This window comes from Homo sapiens, chromosome 6, assembly GCF_000001405.40.
Source record: "Homo sapiens chromosome 6, GRCh38.p14 Primary Assembly".
Taxonomy (NCBI): domain Eukaryota; kingdom Metazoa; phylum Chordata; class Mammalia; order Primates; family Hominidae; genus Homo; species Homo sapiens.
Window position 1 is genome coordinate 85,830,837 of NC_000006.12, and position 18,332 is coordinate 85,849,168.

The 18,332-nt window shown below is 42.4% G+C and overlaps 2 annotated features.

Moving 5' to 3' along the window:
• Positions 6,768-7,306: an enhancer, noted in NCBI's record as "H3K27ac hESC enhancer chr6:86547322-86547860 (GRCh37/hg19 assembly coordinates)". NCBI's record gives its function as "activates a minimal SCP1, AML or CMV promoter by ChIP-STARR-seq in primed H9 embryonic stem cells {active_cell/tissue: H9 hESC(primed)}" and the evidence as "EXISTENCE:reporter gene assay evidence [ECO:0000049][PMID:30033119]".
• Positions 8,385-8,922: an enhancer, noted in NCBI's record as "NANOG-H3K27ac hESC enhancer chr6:86548939-86549476 (GRCh37/hg19 assembly coordinates)". NCBI's record gives its function as "activates a minimal SCP1, AML or CMV promoter by ChIP-STARR-seq in naive H9 embryonic stem cells {active_cell/tissue: H9 hESC(naive)}" and the evidence as "EXISTENCE:reporter gene assay evidence [ECO:0000049][PMID:30033119]".

Consider the following 18,332-nt stretch of genomic DNA (forward strand, 5'->3'; position numbering starts at 1 on the left):
TTAGGATTGACTTGGCAATGCGGGTTCCTTTTTGGTTCCATATGAACTTTAAAGTACTTTTTCCAATTCTGTGAGGAAAGTCATTGGTAGCTTGATGGGGATGGCATTGAATGTATAAATTACCTTGGGCAGTATGGCCATTTTCACGATATTGATTCTTCCTACCCATGAGCATGGAATGTTCTTCCATTTATTTGTATCCTCTTTTATTTCACTGAGCAGTGGTTTGTAGTTCTCCTTGAAGAAGTCCTTCACATCCCTTGTAAGTTGGATTCCTAGGTATTTTATTCTCTTTGAAGCAATTGTGAATGGGAGTTCACTCATGATTTGGCTCTCTGTGTGTTTTTGGTGTATAAGAATGCTTGTGATTTTTGCACATTGATTTTGTATCCTGAGACTTTGCTGAAGTTGCTTATCAGCTTAAGGAGATTTTTGGGCTGAGACAATGGGGTTTTCTAGATATACAATCATGTCATCTGCAAACAGGGACAATTTGACTTCCTTTTTTCCTAATTGAATGCCCTTTATTTCCTTCTCCTGCCTGATTTACCTGGCCAGAACTTCCAACGCTATGTTGAATAGGAGTGGTGAGAGGGGGCATCCCTGTCTTGTGCCAGTTTTCAAAGGGAATGCTTCCAGTTTTTGTCCATTCATTATGATATTGGCTGTGGGTTTGTCATAGATAGCTCTTATTATTTTCAGATACGTCCCATCAATACCTAATTTTTTGAGAGTTTTTAGCATGAAGCGTTGTTGAATTTTTTCAAAGGACTTTTCTTCCTCTATTGAGATAATCATGTGGTTTTTGTCTTTGGTTCCATTTATATGCTGGATTACGTTTATTGATTTTTGTATGTTGAACCAGCCATGCATCCCAGGGATGAAGCCCATTTGATCATGGTGGATAAGCTTTTTGATGTGCTGCTGGATTTGGTTTGCCAGTATTTTACTGAGTTTTTTTGCATCACTGTTCATCAAGGATATTGGTCTAAAATTCTCTTTTTTTTGTTGTGTCTCTGCCAGGCTTTGGTATCAGGATGATGCTGGCCTCATAAAATGAGTTAGGGAGGATTCCCTTTTTTTCTATTGATTGAAATAGTTTCAGAAGGAATGGTACCAGTTACCCCTTGTACCTCTGGTAGAATTAGGCTGTGAATCCGCCTGTTCCTGGACTTTTTTTGGTTGGTAAGCTATTGATTATTGCCACAATTTCAGATCCTGTTATTGGTCTATTCAGAGATTCAACTTCTTCCTGGTTTAGTCTTGGGAGGGTGTATATGTCCAGGAATTTATCCATTTCTTCTAGAATATCTAGTTTATTTGCATAGAGGTGTTTATAGTATTCTCTGATGGTAGTTTGTATTTCTGTGGGATCGGTGGTGATATCCCCTTTGTCATTTTTTATCGTGTCTATTTGATTCTTCTCTCTTTTCCTCTTTATTAGTCTTGCTAGCGGTCTATGAATTTTGTTGCTCTTTTCAAGAAACCAGCTCATGGATTCATTGATTTTTTGAAGGGTTTTTTGTGTCTCTATTTCCTTCAGTTCTGCTCTGATCTTAGTTATTTCTTGCCTTCTGCTAGCTTTTGAATGTGTTTGCTCTTGCTTTTCTAGTTCTTTTAATTGTGATGTTAGGGTGTCAATTTTGGATCTTTTCTGCTTTCTCCTGTGGGCATTTAGTGCCATAAATTTCCCTCTACACACTGCTTTGAATGTGTCCCAGAGATTCTGGTATGTTGTGTCTTTGTTCTCATTGGTTTCAAAGAACATCTTTATTTCTACCTTTAGTTCATTATGTACCCAGTAGTCATTCAGGAGCAGGTTGTTCAGTTTCCGTGTAGTTGAGCGGTTTTGAGTGAGTTTCTTAATCCTGAATTCTAGTTTGATTGCACTGTGGTCTGAGAGACAGTTTGTTGTAATTTCTGTTTTTTACATTTGCTGAAGAGTGCTTCATTTCCAACTATGTGGTCAGTTTTCGAATAGGTGTGGTGTGGTGCTGAAAAAAGTGTATATTCTGTTGTTTTGGGGTGGAGAGTTCTGTAGATGTCTATTAGGTCTGCTTGGTGCAGAGCTGAATTCAATTCCTGGATATCCTTGTTAAATATCTGTCTCGTTGGTCTGTCTAATGTTGACAGTGGGGTGTTAAAGTCTCCCATCATTATTGTGTGGGAGTCTAAGTCTCTTTGTAGGTCACTAAGGACTTGTTTTATGAATCTGGGTGCTCCTGTATTGGGTGCATATATATTTAGGATAGGTAGCTCATCTCGTTGAATTTATCCCTTTACCATTATGTAATGGCCTTCTTTGTCTCTTTTGATCTTTGTTGGTTTAAAGTCTGTTTTATCTGAGAGTAGGATTGCAACCTCTGCCTTTTTTTGTTTTCCATTTGCTTGGTAGATCTTCCTCCATCCCTTTATTTTGAGCCTATGTGTGTCTCTGCATGTGAGATGGGTTTCCTGAATACAGCACACTGGTGGGTCTTGACTCTTTATCCAATTTGCCATTCTGTGTCTTTTAATTGGAGCATTTAGCTTACTTACATTTAAGGTTAATATTGTTATATGTGAATTTGATCCTATCATTATGATGTTAGCTAGTTATTTTGCTCGTTAGTTAATGCAGTTTCTTCCTAGCCTTGATGGTCTTTACAATTTGGCATGTTTTTGCAGTGGCTGGTACCGGTTGTTCCTTTACTTGTGTAGTGCTTCCTTTAGGAGCTCTTTCAGGGCAGGCCTGGTGGTGACAAAAATCTCTCAGCATTTGCTTGTCTGTAAAGGATTTTACTTCTCCTTCACTTATGAATCATAGTTTGGCTGGATATGAAATCCTGGTTTGAAAATTCTTTTCTTTAAGAATGTTGAATGTTGGTCCCCACTCTCTTCTGGCTTGTAGAGTTTCTTCTGAGAGATCAGCTGTTAGTCTGATTGGCTTCCCTTTGTGGGTAACCCGATCCTTCTCTCTGGCTGCCCTTATCATTTTTTCCTTCATTTCAACTTTGATGAATCTGACAATTATGTGTCTTGGAGTTGCTCTTCTTGAGGATTATCTTTGTGGCGTTCTCTGTATTTCTTGAATTTGAATATTGGCCCGCCTTGCTAGATTGGGAAAGTTCTCTTGGATAATATCCTGCAGACTGTTTTCCAACTTGGTTCCATTCTGCCCGTCACTTTCAGGTACACTAGTCAGACGTAGATTTGGTCTTTTCACATAGTCACTTATCTCTTGGAGGCTTTGTTGGTTTCTTTTTTTTCTTTTTTCTCTAAACTTCTCTTCTGACTTCATTTCATTCATTTCATCTTCCATCGCTAATACCCTTTCTTTCAGTTTATCGCATCGGCTACTGAGGCTTGTGCATTTGTCATGTAGTTCTCGTGCTGTGGTTTTCAGCTCCATGAGGTCCTTTAAGGACTTCTCTGCATTGGTTATTCTAGTTAGCCATTCGTCTAACTTTTTTTCAAAGTTTTTAACTTCTTTGTCATTGGTTTGAACTTCCTCCTTTAGCTCGGCGTAGTTGGTCTTCTGAAGCCTTCTTCTCTCAACTCCTCAAAGTCATTCTCCATCCAGCTTTGTTCCATTGCTGCTGAGGAGCTGTGTTCCTTTGCAGGAGGAGAGACACTCTGATTTTTAGAGTTTCTGGTTTTTCTGCTCTGTTTTTTCCCCATCTTTGTGGTTTTCTCTACCTTTGGTGTTTGAAGATGGTGACGTACAGATGGGTTGTTGGTGTGGATGTCCTTTCTGTTTGTTAGATTTCCTTCTAACGGTCAGGACCCTCAGCTGCAGGTCTGTTGGAGTTTGCTGGAGGTCCACTTCAGACCCTATCTGCCTCAGTATCAGCAGCGGTGGCTGCAGAACAGCGGATATTGGTGAACTGAAAATGCTGCTGACTGATCGTTCCTCTGGAAGTTTTGTGTCAGAGGATTACCCGGCCGTGTGGTGTCAGTCCGCCCCTACTAGAGTTTGTCTCCCAGTTAGGCTCCTCGGGGGTCAGGGACCCACTTGAGGAGGCAGTCTTTCCATTCTCAGATCTCAAGCTGCATGCTGGGAGAACCACTAGTCTCTTCAAAGCTGTCAGACAGGGACATTTAAGTCTGCAGAGGTTACTGCTGCCTTCTGTTTGTGCCCTGCCCCCAGAGGTGGAGCCTACAGAGGCAGGCAGGCCTCCTTGAGCTGTGGTGGGCTCCACCCAGTTTGAGCCTCCAGGCTGCTTTGTTTACCTACCCAAGCCTCAGCAATGGTGGGTGCCCCTCCCCCAGCCTCGCTGCTGCCTTGCCATTTGATCTCAGACTGCTGTGCTAGCAATGAGCGAGTCTCTGTGGGTGTAGCACCCTCCAAGCCAGGGGCGGTATATAATCTCCTGGTATGCATTTGTTAAATCCATTGGAAAAGCACAGTAATAGGGTGGGAGTGACCCGATTTTCCAGGTGCCATCTGTCACCCTTTTCTTTGACTAGGAAAGAGAATTCCTTGACCCCTTGCACTTCCCGGGTGAGGTGATGCCTCACCCTGCTTTGGGTCATGCACAGTGCACTGCACCCACTATCCTGCACCCACTGTCCAGCACTCCCTAGTGAGATGAACCTGGTACCTCAGTTGGAAATGCAGAAATCACCCATCTTCTGGGTCGCTCACTCTGGGAGCTGTAGACTGGAGCTTTTCCTATTTGACCATCTTGGCTCCACCCCCCAGGAATTCTTAAGAGAATCTGTGACGGTCAATACTGAGTGTCAACTTGACTGGATTGAAAAATACAAATTATTGATCCTGGGTGTGTTTGTGAGGGTGTTGCTAAAGGAGATTAACATTTGTGTTAGTGGGCTGGGAAAGCCAGACCCATCCTTAATCTGGGTGGACACCATCTAATCAGCTGCCAGCATGGCTACAATATAAGAATCAGGCAGAAAAATGTGAAAAGAGAGGCTGGCCTACCCTCCCAGCCTACACCCTTCTGCTGTGCTGGATGCTTCCTGCTCTTGAACATTGAACTCCAAGTTCTTCAGTTTTGGATCTCAGACTGGCTCTCCTTGCTCCTCCACCTGCAGATGGCCTATTTTGGGACCTTGTGATCATGTGAGTTAATACTTAATAAGCTCATATATATATGTATGTATTCCATTAGTTCTGTCCCTCTAGATAACTCTAATACAGAATTCTAATTGGGGGAGCAAAAGGACAATATCTACCATGATGCAAACACACACACAAAAATACTCACTCTTAGAGCAGATACACAGATGAGAAAGAGAAAGTAGCCAAAGGTTACCACTATAGAGAACCATCCAATGACAGTGATAAACTATAAAAGAGGATGAAAGAAGCAAAAGATATATAAAACAGTGAAAAACAGTTAACAAAATGACAGAAATAAGTCCTTATCTATCAATAGTAACTTTGAATGAAAATGGAATAAATTCCTCACTTACAAGATATAGACAGGCTGAAATAATTAAAAAACCTAACTATATGCTGCCTATATCACTTCACCTTTAAAGACACATATAGGCTGAATATGAAGGGATAGAAAAAGATTCCATGCAAACAGAAACCAAAAGTGAGTAGCAGTAGCTATATTTGTAGCAGATAAAACAGAATTTAGGTCAAAAATAGTAAAAAGGACAAGAATATTATATATTGATAAAGGGATAACTTCAGCAAGAGGATATAATAATTTTAAATATGTATGTATCCACATGAGAACACTCAGATAGATAAAACAAGCATATCTAAGAAGAGCAGTAGACTCCAAAATAATACTAGTTGGGGACTTCAGTACCCCATTATCAGCAGTGGACAGATCATCTAGAAAATCAACAAAAAAATATTGGATTTAAACTGCACTTCAGGCCAAATAGACCCAATAGATATTTACAAACATTTCATCCAATGGCTGCAGAACACATTCTGCTCAGCAGCATATAGAACATTCTCAAGGATAGATTATATGTAAGGCCACCAAACAAGTAGCTTCAACAAGCATATGGAAAAATTCTCAGCATCACTAATCATTAGAGGAATGCAAATCAAACCACAATGAGATACCATCTCACATCAATCAGAATGGCTATTATCAAAAAGTCAAAAAACAACAGATACTGGTGAGGTTGCAGAGAAACAGGAACACTTATACAATGCTGGTGGAAATGTAAGTCAGTTCAGCCACTGAGGAAGGAAGTTTGGTGATTTTTCTTTTTTCTTTTTTTCTTTTTTAGTTTGGTGATTTTTCAAAGAACTCAAAGCAGTATTACCATTTGACTCAGTGATCCCATTATTGGGTATATACCTAAAGAAATATAAATTGCTATACCATAAAGATACATGCATGTATATATCCATCACAGCACTATTCACAATTCCAAAGACATAAGATCAACCTAAATGTCCATCAACAATTGACTGGATAAAGAAAATGTGGTACATACACACCCCAGAATACTATGCAGTCATCAAAAAGAATGAGATCATGTCCTTTGCAACAACATGGATGGAGCTGGAGGCCATTATCCTAAGCAAACTAACACACGAACAGAAAACAAAGATACTGCCTGTTTTCACTTATAGTAGGAGCTAACCATTGAGTATATATGGACACAAAGAAGGGAACAACAGACACTGGGGCTTATGTGAGAGTGGAGGGTGGGAGAAGGATGAGAACTGAACAAGTACCTATCAGGTACTATGTTTATTACCTGGGTGATGAAACAATCTGTACACCAAACCCCCATGACATGCAATTTACCTATATAACAAACCTGGACATGTACCCTTGAACCTAAAATAAAATAAAAACAAATAAGTGGCCTTAACACATTTTAAAATATCAAAATTCTATCAAGTATCTTCTCAGATCACAGGGGCATAAAACTAGAAATCAGTAACAAGAAAAACTATGGAAACTGTACAAATACATGGAGAATAAACAATGTGCTCCTGAATGACCACTGGGCCAATGAAGAAATTAAGAAGGAAATTAAAAAATTTTGAAAGAAATGAAAATGAAAATATAACATATTAAAAGCTATGGGATACAGCAAAAGTAGTACTAAGAGAGAAGTGCATAACAAGAAATACCTACATCAGCTCTCCCTCTCCCTCTCCCTCTCCCTCTCCCTCTCCCTCTCCCCACAGTCTCCCTCTCCCTCTCTTTCCACAGTCTCCCTCTGATGCCGAGCGGAAGCTGGACTGTACTGCTGCCGTCTCGGCTCACTGCAACCTCCCTGCCTGATTCTCCTGCCTCAGTCTGCCGAGTGCCTGCGATTGCAGGCGCGCGCCACCACGACTGACTGGTTTTTGTATTTTTTTGGTGGAGACAGGGTTTCGCTGGGTTGGCTGGGCTGGTCTCCAGCTCCTAACCGTGAGTGATCCGCCAGCCTCAGCCTCCTGAGGTGCCGGGATTGCAGATGGAGTCTTGTTCACTCAGTGCTCAATTGTGCCCAGGCTGGAGTGCAGTGGCGTGATCTCGGCTCGCTACAACCTCCACCTCCCAGCCGCCTGCCTTGGCCTCCCAAAGTGCCGAGATTGCAGCCTCTGCCCGGCCACCACCCCGTCTGGGATGTGAGGAGCCCCTCTGCCTGGCTGCCCAGTCTGGAAAGTGAGGAGCATCTCTGCCCAGCCGCCATCCCATCTAGGAAGTGAGGAGCACCTCTTCCCGGCTGCCATCCCATGTAGGAAGTGAGGAGCGTCTCCGCCCCACCGCCCATTGTCTGAGATGTGGGGAGTGCCTCTGCCCCCCGCCCCATCTGGGATGTGAGGAGCACCTCTGCCCGGCCGCGACCCCGTCTGTGAGATGAGGAGCGTCTCTGCCCGGCTGCCCCGTCTGAGAAGTGAGGAGACCCTCCGCCTGGCAACCACCCCATCTGAGAAGTGAGGAGCCCCTCCGCCCGGCAGCCACCCCATCTGAGAAGTGAGGAGCCCCTCCGCCTGGCAGCCACCCCATTTGGGAAGTGAGGAGCGTCTCCGCCCGGCAGCCACCCCGTCTGGGAGGGAGGTGGGGGTCAGCCCCCACCTGGCCAGCTGCCCCGTCTGGGAGGGAGGTGGGAGGGTCAGCCCCCCACCCAGCCAGCCACCCCATCCGGGAGGGAGATGGGGGGTCAATACCCCCCCCCCGGCAAGCCGCCCCATCTGGGAGGGAGGTGGGGGGTCAGTCCCCCGCCCGGCCAGCTGCTCCGTCCGGGAGGGAGGTGGGGGGGTCAGCCCCCCGTCCGGCCAGCCGCCCCGTCTGGGAGGGAGGTGGGGGGGTCAGCCCCCCGCCCGGCCAGCCACCCCATCTGGGAGGTGAGGGGCACCTCTGCCCAGCCGCCCCTACTGGGAAGTGAGGAGCCCCTCTGCCCTGCCACCACCCCGTCTGGGAGGTGTACCCAACAGCTCATTGAGAACGGGCCATGATGACAATGGCGGTTTTGTGGAATAGAAAAGGGGGAAAGGTGCAGAAAAGATTGAGAAATCGGATGGTTGCTGTGTCTGTGTAGAAAGAAGTAGACATGGGAGACTTTTCATTTTGTTCTGTACTAAGAAAAATTCGTCTGCCTTGGGATCCTGTTGATCTATGACCTTACCCCCAACCCTGTGCTCTCTGAAACATGTGCTGTGTCCACTCAGGGTTAAATGGATTAAGGGCGGTGCAAGATGTGCTTTGTTAAACAGATGCTTGAAGGCAGCATGCTCGTTAAGAGTCATCACCACTCCCTAATCTCAAGTACCCAGGGACACAAACACTGCGGTAGGCCGCAGGGTCCTCTGCCTAGGAAAACCAGAGACCTTTGTTCACTTGTTTATCTGCTGATCTTCCCTCCACTATTGTCCTATGACCCTGCCAAATCCCCCTCTGGGAGAAACACCCAAGAATGATCAGTAAAAAAAATAAAATAAAAAAAAGATAATCTCTATATGTGCAGATAGAAATGATCTCCAAAATCAGTTAAGGTACAGAAATAAATAAATAAATAAATAAATAAATAAAAAAGAAATACCTACATCAAAAAAGTAGAAAGATTTTAAATAAACGGCCTAATGATGCATCTCAAAGAACTAGAAAAGCAAGAACAAACCAAAACCCAAATTAGGAGAAGGCAAAAATAATAAAGATTAGAGAATAAATAAATGAAATTGAGAATAAAATAATACAAAAAATTAGAAAAAATGTTGGATGTTTGAAAAGATAAACAAAATTGACAAACCATTAGCTAGATTAAGAAAAAAGAGAGAAGACTCAAATAAAGAAAATCAGAAAGAAAAAAGGAGACACGAAGGAAGTGGCCAAGATGGCTGACTAGAAGCAGCTAGTGTGTGGCTCTCACAGAGAGGAACAGAAAGGGTGAGTAAATACAACACCTTCAACTGAAACATCCAGGTACTCGCATTGGGACTAATCAAGGAAACAACTTGACCCACGGGAAACATAGAAAAGCAAGACAGAACAATGGCTCACCTGAGAGCAACATGAAGCCGGGGAACCTCCACCAACCAGGAAAGTGGTGAGTGAATGTGCAACCTCAGGAAACCATGCTTCTCCCATGAATCTTTGTAACAGGAGATCTTGCGAACCCACTCCATCAGAGCCTCCAGTCTGACAGACAGAGCTACGTGGATTCTCAGCAGAGCAGGCACCCAGGCATGCGTGGAGATCCTGGAGACTTAGATACTCGGGATTTCTGTCAAAAGTAGCTGCAGCTTTGGCAAAATGGGAGATTACACCCCCATACATACCCCTAGGAAAGAGGCTGAATCCAGGAGGCTGAGCAGTGACAGCCTGCAGGCACCAGTTCCACAGCACCTCACAAGATAAGGCCTACAGGCTTGCAATTTCAACCAGCCAATTGTAGCAGCATTGCAGCTCCCTAAGAATAAGCTACCAGGGTGTGGGGCAGGCTGCCATCTTTGCCATTTGGCCACCTTAGCCATTCCACCCTTCAGGCTTTGGAGAGTCCAAGCTGACTGAGGGCAGAAGGGATCCCCCAGCACAGGACAGTTTCTCTACTAAAACATGGCCAGACTGCTGCTTTAGGCAGATACTTAAAGCAGATATACTGTCCCTCCTCACTGGGTGGGGGGGAATTTTGAACTTGGGCCTCCAGCCAATTGCACTCATGATCTCCAGCTGACAGAGATTTGAATCGCTACTGGGATGGCACTCCCAGAGGGAGAGACGGGCTGCCTTGTTTGTTGTTTGAGCAACTTAGTTGTTTCAGCCATTGGGCTCTGGAAAGTTCAAGTCAATCCAGGGCTGAATGGATCCCTCAACACAGCACAGCTCCTCAACCAAAATGTGGCCAGACTCCTTCTTTAAGTGGGTCCCCAGTCCCACTGGGTGGGGTCCTCCCAACCAGGGCCTCCAGCCACCTCCATGTGTGTTCTTCAGTCAACAGAGAGCTGAATTCTCCCTGGGACAGTGCTCCCTGTGGGGTGGGGGTGGGGGGGGTAGGCCGCCATCTTTGCTATTTGGGTGACTTAGCTGTTCCAGCCTTTGGGCATTGGAGAGGCTGAGCTGATCAGGGGCAAAAATGATGCCCCAGCACAACACAGCTTCTCTACCAAAACATGGTGTATTAGTCCCTTTTCATGCTGCTGATAAAGATATGCCTGAGATTGGGCAATTTACAAAAGAAAGAGCTTTTATTATTATTATTATTATTATACTTTAAGTTCTAGGGTACATGTGCACAAAGTGCTGGTTTGTTACATAAGTATACATGTGCCATGTTGGTTTGCTGCCCCCATCAACTCATCATTTACATTAGGTATTTCTCCTAATGCTATCCCTCCCCCAGCCCCCCACCCTCCAACAGGCCCCAGTGTGTGATGTTCCTTTCCCTATACCCATGTGTTCTCATTGTTCAACTCCCACTTATGACTGAGAACATGCAGTGTTTGGTTTTCTGTCCTTGTGATATTTTGCTGAGAATGATGGTTTCCAGATTCACCCGGGTCCCTACAAAGGACGTGAACTCATCCTTTTTTATGGCTGCATAGTATTTCATGGTGTAAATGTGCCACATTTTCTTTATCCAGTCTATCATTGATAGACATTTGGGTAGGTTCCAAATCTTTGCTATTGTGAATAGTGCCACAATAAACGTACGTGTGCATGTGTCTTTATAGTAGCATGATTTATAATCCTTTGGGTATAAACCCAGTAATGGGATTGCTGGGTCAAATGGTATTTCTGGCTCTAGATCCTTGAGGAATCACCACACTGTCTTCCACAGTGCTTGAACTAATTTACACTCCCACCAACAGTGTAAAAGCATTCCTATTTCTCCACATCCTCTCTAGCATCTGTTGTTTCCTGACTTTTTAATGATCGCCATTCTAACTGGCATGAGATGGTATCTCATTGTGGTTTTGTTTGCATTTCTCTGATCGCCAGTGATGATGAGCATTTTTTCAAATGTCTGTTGGCTGCATAAATGTCTTCTTTTGAGAAGTGTCTGTTCTTATCCTTTGCCCACATTTTGATGGGGTTGTTTGTTTCTTGTAAATCTTTTTAAGTTCTTTGTAGATTCTGGATATTAGCCCTTTGTCAGATGGATAGATTGCAAACATTTTCTCCCATTATGTAGGTTGCCTGTTGTTTGATTTTTTTCTTGTAAATTTGTTTAAGTTCTTTGTAGATTCTGGATATCAGCCCTTTGTCAGATGGATAGATTGCAAACATTTTCTCCCATTATGTAGGTGGCCTGTTCACTCTGAAGATATATTCTTTTACTGTGCAGAATCTCTTTAACTTAATTAGATCCCGTTTGTCAATTTTGGCTTTTGTTGCCATTGCTTTTGGTGTTTTAGTCATGAAGTCTTTGCCAATGCCTATGTCCTGAATGGTATTGCCCAGGTTTTCTTCTAGGGTTTTTATGGTTTTAGGTCTAACATTTAAATCTTTAATCCATTGTGAGTTAATTTTTGTGTAAGGTGTAAGGAAGGGATCCAGTTTCAGCTTTCTACATATGGCTAACCCGTTTTCCCAGCACCATTTATTAAATAGGGAATCCTTTCCCCATTGCTTGTTTTTGTCAGGTTTGTCAAAGATGAGATACTTTTAGATGTGTAGTGTCATTTCTGAGGTCTCTGTTCTGTTCCATTTGTCTATATATCTGTTTTGGTGCCATTATCGTGCTGTTTTGGTTACTGTAGCCTTGTAGTATAGTTTGAAGTCAGGTAGCATGATGCTTCCAGCTTTTTTCTTTTTGCTTAGGATTGTCGTGGCTATGCAGGCTCTTTTTTTGGTTCCATATGAAATTTAAAGTAGTTTTTTCCAATTCTGTGAAGAGTCAGTGGTAGCTTAATGGGGATAGCATTGAATCTCTAGATTACCTTGGGCAGTTTGGCCATTTTCACAATATTGATTCTTCCTATCCATGAGCATGGAATGTTTTTCCGTTTGTATGTGTCCTCTTTTTATTTAGTTTAGCAGTGGTTTGTAGTTCTCCTAGAAGAGATCCTTCACATCTCTTTTAAGTTGGATCCCTAGGTGTTTTCTTCTATTTGTAGTAATTGTGAATGGGAGTTCACTCATGATTTGGCTCTCTGTTCTTGGTGTATAGGAATGCTTGTAATTTTTGCACATTGATTTTGTATCTTGGGACTTTGCTGAAATTGCTTATCAGCTTAAGGAGATTTTGGGCTGAGACAATGGGGTTTTCTAAATATACAGTCATGTCATCTGCAAACAGAGACAATTTAACTTCTTCTTTTCCTTATTAATACCCCTTATTTCTTTCTCTTGCCTGATTGCCCTGGCCAGAACTTCCAACTATTCACTACATTGAGTAGGAGTGGTGAGAGGGTACATCCTTGTGTTGTGCCAGTTTTCAAAGGGAATGCTTCCAGTTTTTGCCCATTCAGTATGATATTGGCTGTGGGTTTGTCATAAATAGCTCTTATTATTTTGAGATACGTTCCATCAATACCCAGTTTATGGAGAGTTTTTAGCATGAAAGGCTGTTGAATTTTGTCAAAGGCCTTTTCTGCATCTATTGAGATAATCATGGTTTTTGCCATTGGTTCTGTTTATGTGATGGGTTACATTTATTGATTTTCATATGTTGAACCAGCCTTGCATCCCAGGGATGAAGCCAACTTGATCATGGTGGATAAGCTTTTTGATGTCCTGCTGGATTTGGTTTGCAGTATTTTATTGAGCTTTTTGCATCAAGGTTCATCAAGGATATTGGCCTAAAATTCTCTTTTTTTGTGGTGTCTCTGCCAGGCTTTTGTATCAGGATGATGCTGACCTCATAAAATGAGATAGGGAGGATACCCTCTTTTTCTATTGATTAGAATACTTTCAGAAGGAGTGGTACCGGCTCCTCTTTGTACCTGGTTTAATCTTGGGTGGGTGGTTTAGCCTTGGGAGGAATTTATCCATTTCTTCTAGATTTTCTAGTTTATTTTTGTGGAGGTGTTTATAGTATTCTCTGATGTGTGTTTGTATTTCTGTGGGATCAGTGGTGATATCCCCTTTATTATATTTTATTACATCTATTTGATTCTTCTCTCTTCTCTTCTTTATTAGTTTTGCTAGCAGACTATCTATTTTGTTGATCTTTTCAAAAAACCAGCTCCTGGATTCATTGATTTTTTGAAGGGTTTTTTCTTTGTGTCTCTATCTCCTTCAGTTCTGCTCTGATCTTAGTTATTTCTTGCCTTCTGCTAGCTTTTGAATATGTTTGGTCTTGCTTCTGTAGTTCTTTTAATAGTGATGTTAGGATATCAATTTTAGATCTTTCCTGCCTTCTCTTGTGGGCATTTAGTGCTATAAATTTCCCTCTACACACTGCTTTAAATGTGTCCCAGAGATTCTGGTATGTTGTGTCTTTGTTCTTGTTGGTTTCAAAGAACATCTTTATTTCTGCCTTCATTTCGTTATTTACCCAGTAGTCATTCAGGAGCAGGTTGTTCAGTTTCCATGTAGTGGTGTGGTTTTGAGTGAGTTTCTTAATCCTGAGTTCTAGTTTGATTGCACTGTGGTCTTAGAGACAGTTCGTTGTTATTTCTGTTCTTTTACATTTGCTGAGGAGTGTTTTACTTCCCATTATGTGGTCAATTTTAGAATAAATATGATGGGCTGCTGATTAGAATTTATATTCTATTGATTTGGGGTGGAGAGTTCTGTAGATGTCTATTAGGTCCACTTGGTCCAGAGCTGAGTTCAAGTCCTGGATATCTTTGTTAATATTCTGTCTCATTGATCTGTCTAATATTGACAGTGGAGTGTTAAAGTCTCCCATTATTATTGGGTGGGAGTTTAAGTCTCTTTGTAGGTCTCTAAGAACTTGCTTTATGAATCTGGGTGCTCCTGTATTTTGTGCATATATATTTAGGATAGTTAACTCTTCTTGTTGAATTGATCCATTTACCAATATGTAATGGCCTTTTTTTTTTCTCTTTTGATCTTTTTGGTTTGAAGTCTGTTTTATCAGACACCAGGATTGCAAACCCTGCTTTTGTTTGCTCTCCATTTGCTTGGTAGATCTTCCATCCCTTTATTTTGAGCCTACGTGTGTCTTTGCACAGATGGGTCTCTTGAATACAGCACTCTGATAGGTCTTGACTCTTTATACAATTTGCCAGTCTGTGTCTTTCAATTGGGGCATTTAGCCAATTTGCATTTAAGGTTAATATTGTTATGTGTGAATTAGGTTCTGTCATTATGATGCTATCTGGTTATTTTGCCCATTAGTTGATGCAGTTTCTTCATAGCATTAATGGTCTTTACAACTTGGCATGTTTTTGTATTGGCTGGTACCAGTTGTTTCTTTCCATGTTTAGTGCTTCCTTCAGGAGCTCTTGTAAGGCAGGCTTGGTGGTGACAAAATCTCTCAGCATTTGCTTGTCTGTAAATAATGTATTTCTCTTTCACTTATGAAGCTTTGTTTGGCTGGATATAAAATTCTGGGTTGAAAATTGTTTTCTTTTTTAATGTTGAATATTGGCCTCCACTGTGTTCTGGCTTGTAGGGTTTCTGCAGAGAGATCCACTGTTAGTCTGATGGGCTTCCCTTTGTGGGTAATCCTACCTTTCTCTCTGGCTGCCCTTAATATTTTTTCCTTCACTTCAACCTTGGTGAATCTGATGATTATGTATGTTGGGGTTACTCTTTTTGAGGAGTATCTTTGTGGTGTTCTCTGTATTTCCTGAATTTGAATGTTGGCCTGCCTAGCTAGGTTGGGAAGTTCTCCTGGATAATATATTGAAGAGCATTTTGTAACTTGGTTCTATGCTCCCCTTAACTTTCAGGTACACCAATCAAATGTAGATTTGGTCTTTTCACATAGTCCCCTATTTTTTGAAGGTTTTGTTCATGTCTTTTCACTCTTTTTTTCTCTAATCTTGTCTTCTTACTTTATTTCATCAAGTTGATCTTCAATCACTGATATCCTTTCTTCTGCTTGATCGAATTGGCTATTGAAGCTTCTGTATGCTTTAAGAAGTTCTCCTACTGTGGTTTTCATCTCCATTGTTCATTTAAGCTCTTCTAAACTGGTTATTCTGGTTAGTTATTCCTTTAACCTTTTTCCAAGGTTTTTAGCTTCATTATGATGGGTTAGAACATGCTCCTTTATCCTGGAGAAATTTGTTATTACCAACCTTCTGAAGCCTACTTCTGTCAACTCGTCAAACTCATATTCCATCCAGTTTTGTTCCATTGCTGGCAAGGTGTTGTGTTTCTTTGGAGGAGAAGAGGTGTTCTGGTTTTTGGAATTTTCAGCCTTTCTGCTCTGGTTTCTCCTCATCTTTGTGCTTTTGTCTACCTTTGGTCTTTGATGTTGGTGACCTATGGAGGGTGTTTTCGTTTGGATGTCCTTTTTGTTGATGTTGATACTATTCCTTTCTGTTTGTTGGTTTTCCTTCTAACAGACAGGACTCTCAGCTGCAGATCTGTTGGAGTTTGCTGGAGGTCCACTCCAGACCCTGTTTGTCTGGGTATCACCAACGGAGGCTGCAGAACAGCAAATATTGCTGCCTGATCTTTCCTCTGGAAGCTTTGTCCTAGAGGGGCACCCACCTGTATGAGGTGTCTGTTGGCCCCTACTGGGAGGTGTCCTCCAATCAGGCTACACAGGTGTCAGGGATCCATTTGAGGTGGCAGTCTGTCCATTATCGGGTCTTGAACGCCATGCTGGGAGAACAACTGCTTTCTTCAGAGCTGTCAGGCAGGGAAGTTTAAGTCTGCAGAAACTGTCTGCTGCCATTTGTTCCAATATGCCCTGCCCCCAGAGGTGGAATCTCGAGAGGAAGTAGGCCTTGCTGAACTGTGGTGGGTTCCGCCCAGTTCAAGCTTTCCTGCTGCTTTTTTTACACTGGGAGCATAAAACTGCCTACCCAAGCCTCAGCAATAGTGGACGCCCCTTTCCTCACCAAGCTCCAGAATCGTAGGTCAAACTCAGAGTGCTGCGCAAGCAAGGGGCAAGGTTCCATGGGCATGGGACCTGCCACACCAGGCATGGGAGGGAATCTCCTGGTCTGCTGGTTGTGAAGACTGTGGAAAAGGTGCAGTATTTGGGCAGGAGTTTACCATTCCTCCAGGTACAGTCACTCACGGCTTCCTTTGGCTAGGAAAATGAAATCCCCCAATCCCTTGCACTTCTTGGATGAGGCAACACCCCACCCTTCTTCAGCTCACTCTCTGTGGGCTGCACCCACTGTCCAACCAGTTCCAATGAGATGAACCAGGTAACTCGGTTGGAAATGCAGAAATCACCAATCTTCTGCATTGATTTTGCTGGGAGCTGTAGACTGGAGCTATTCCTATTTTGCCATCTCTGAAGCAGCTCCAAGAAAGAGGTTTATTGGACTTACAGTTCCACATGGCTGGGGAAGCCTCACAATCATGGTGGAAGATGAAAGGCACCTCTCACATGGCAGAAGACAAGAGAGATTGTGCAGGGAAACTCCCACTTATAATAATCATCAGATCTCGAGAGACTTACTATCATGAGAACAGGATGGGAGAGGCCTTCCCCCATGATTCAATTACCTCCCACCTGGATCCTCCCACAATATGTGGAATTTCAAGATGAGATTTGGATGGGGACATAGCCAAATCATATCATATGGCCAGACTTATTCTTTTTTTTTTAATTATACTTTAAGTTTTAGGGTACATGTGCACAATGTGCAGGTTAGTAACATATGTATACTTGTGCCATGTTGGTGTGCTGCACCCATTAACTCATCATTTAATATTAGGCATATCTCCTAATGCTATCCCTCCCCCATACCACCACCCCACAACAGGCCTCGGTGTGTGATGTTCCCTTTCCTGTGTCCATGTGTTCTCATTGTTCAGTTACCACCTATGAGTGAGAACATGTGGTGTTTGGTTTTTTATCCTTGTGATAGTTTGCTTAGAATGGTTTCCAGCTTCATCCATGTCCCTACAAAGGACACGAACTCATTATTTTTTATGGCTGCATAGTATTCCATGGTGTATATGTGCCACATTTTCTTAATCCAGTCTATCATTGTTGGACATTTGGGTTGGTTCCAAGTCTTTGCTACTGTAAATAGTTCTGCAATAAACATACATGTGTATGTGTCTTTATAGCAGCATGATTTATAATCCTTTGGGTATATATCCAGTAATGGGATGGCTGGGTCACATGGTATTTCTAGTTCTAGATCCCTGAGGTATTGCCACACCAACTTCCACAATGGTTGAACTAGTTTACAGTCCCACCAACAGTGTAAAAGTGTTCCTATTTCTCCACATCCTCTCCAGCACCTGTTGTTTCCTGACTTTTTAATGATTGCCATTCTAACTGGTATGAGATGGTATCTCACTGTGGTTTTGATTTACATTTCTCTGATGGCCAGTGATGGTGAGTATTTTTTCATGTGTTTTTTGGCTGCATAAATGTCTTCTTTTGAGAAGTGTCTGTTCATGTCCTTCGCCCACTTTTTGATGTGTTGTTTGTTTTTTTCTTGTAAATTTGTTGGAGTTCATCATAGATTCTGGATATTAGCCCTTTGTCAGATGAGTAGATTGCAAAAATTTTCCTCCATTCTGTAGGTTGCCTGCTCACTCTGATGGTAGTTTGTTTTGCTGTGCAGAAGCTCTTTAGTTTAATTAGATCCCATTTGTCAATTTTGTCTTTTGTTGCCATTGCTTTTGGTGTTTTAGACATGAAGTCCTTGCCCATGCCTATGTCCTGATTGAATGGTATTGCCTAGGTTTTCTTCTAGGGTTTTTATGGTTTTAGGTCTAACATGTAAGTCTTTAATCCATCTTGAATTAATTTTTGTATAAGGTGTAAGGAAGGGAACCAGTTTCAGCTTTCTACATATGGCTAGCCAGTTTTCCCAGCACCATTTATTAAATAGAGAATCCTTTCCCCATTGCTTG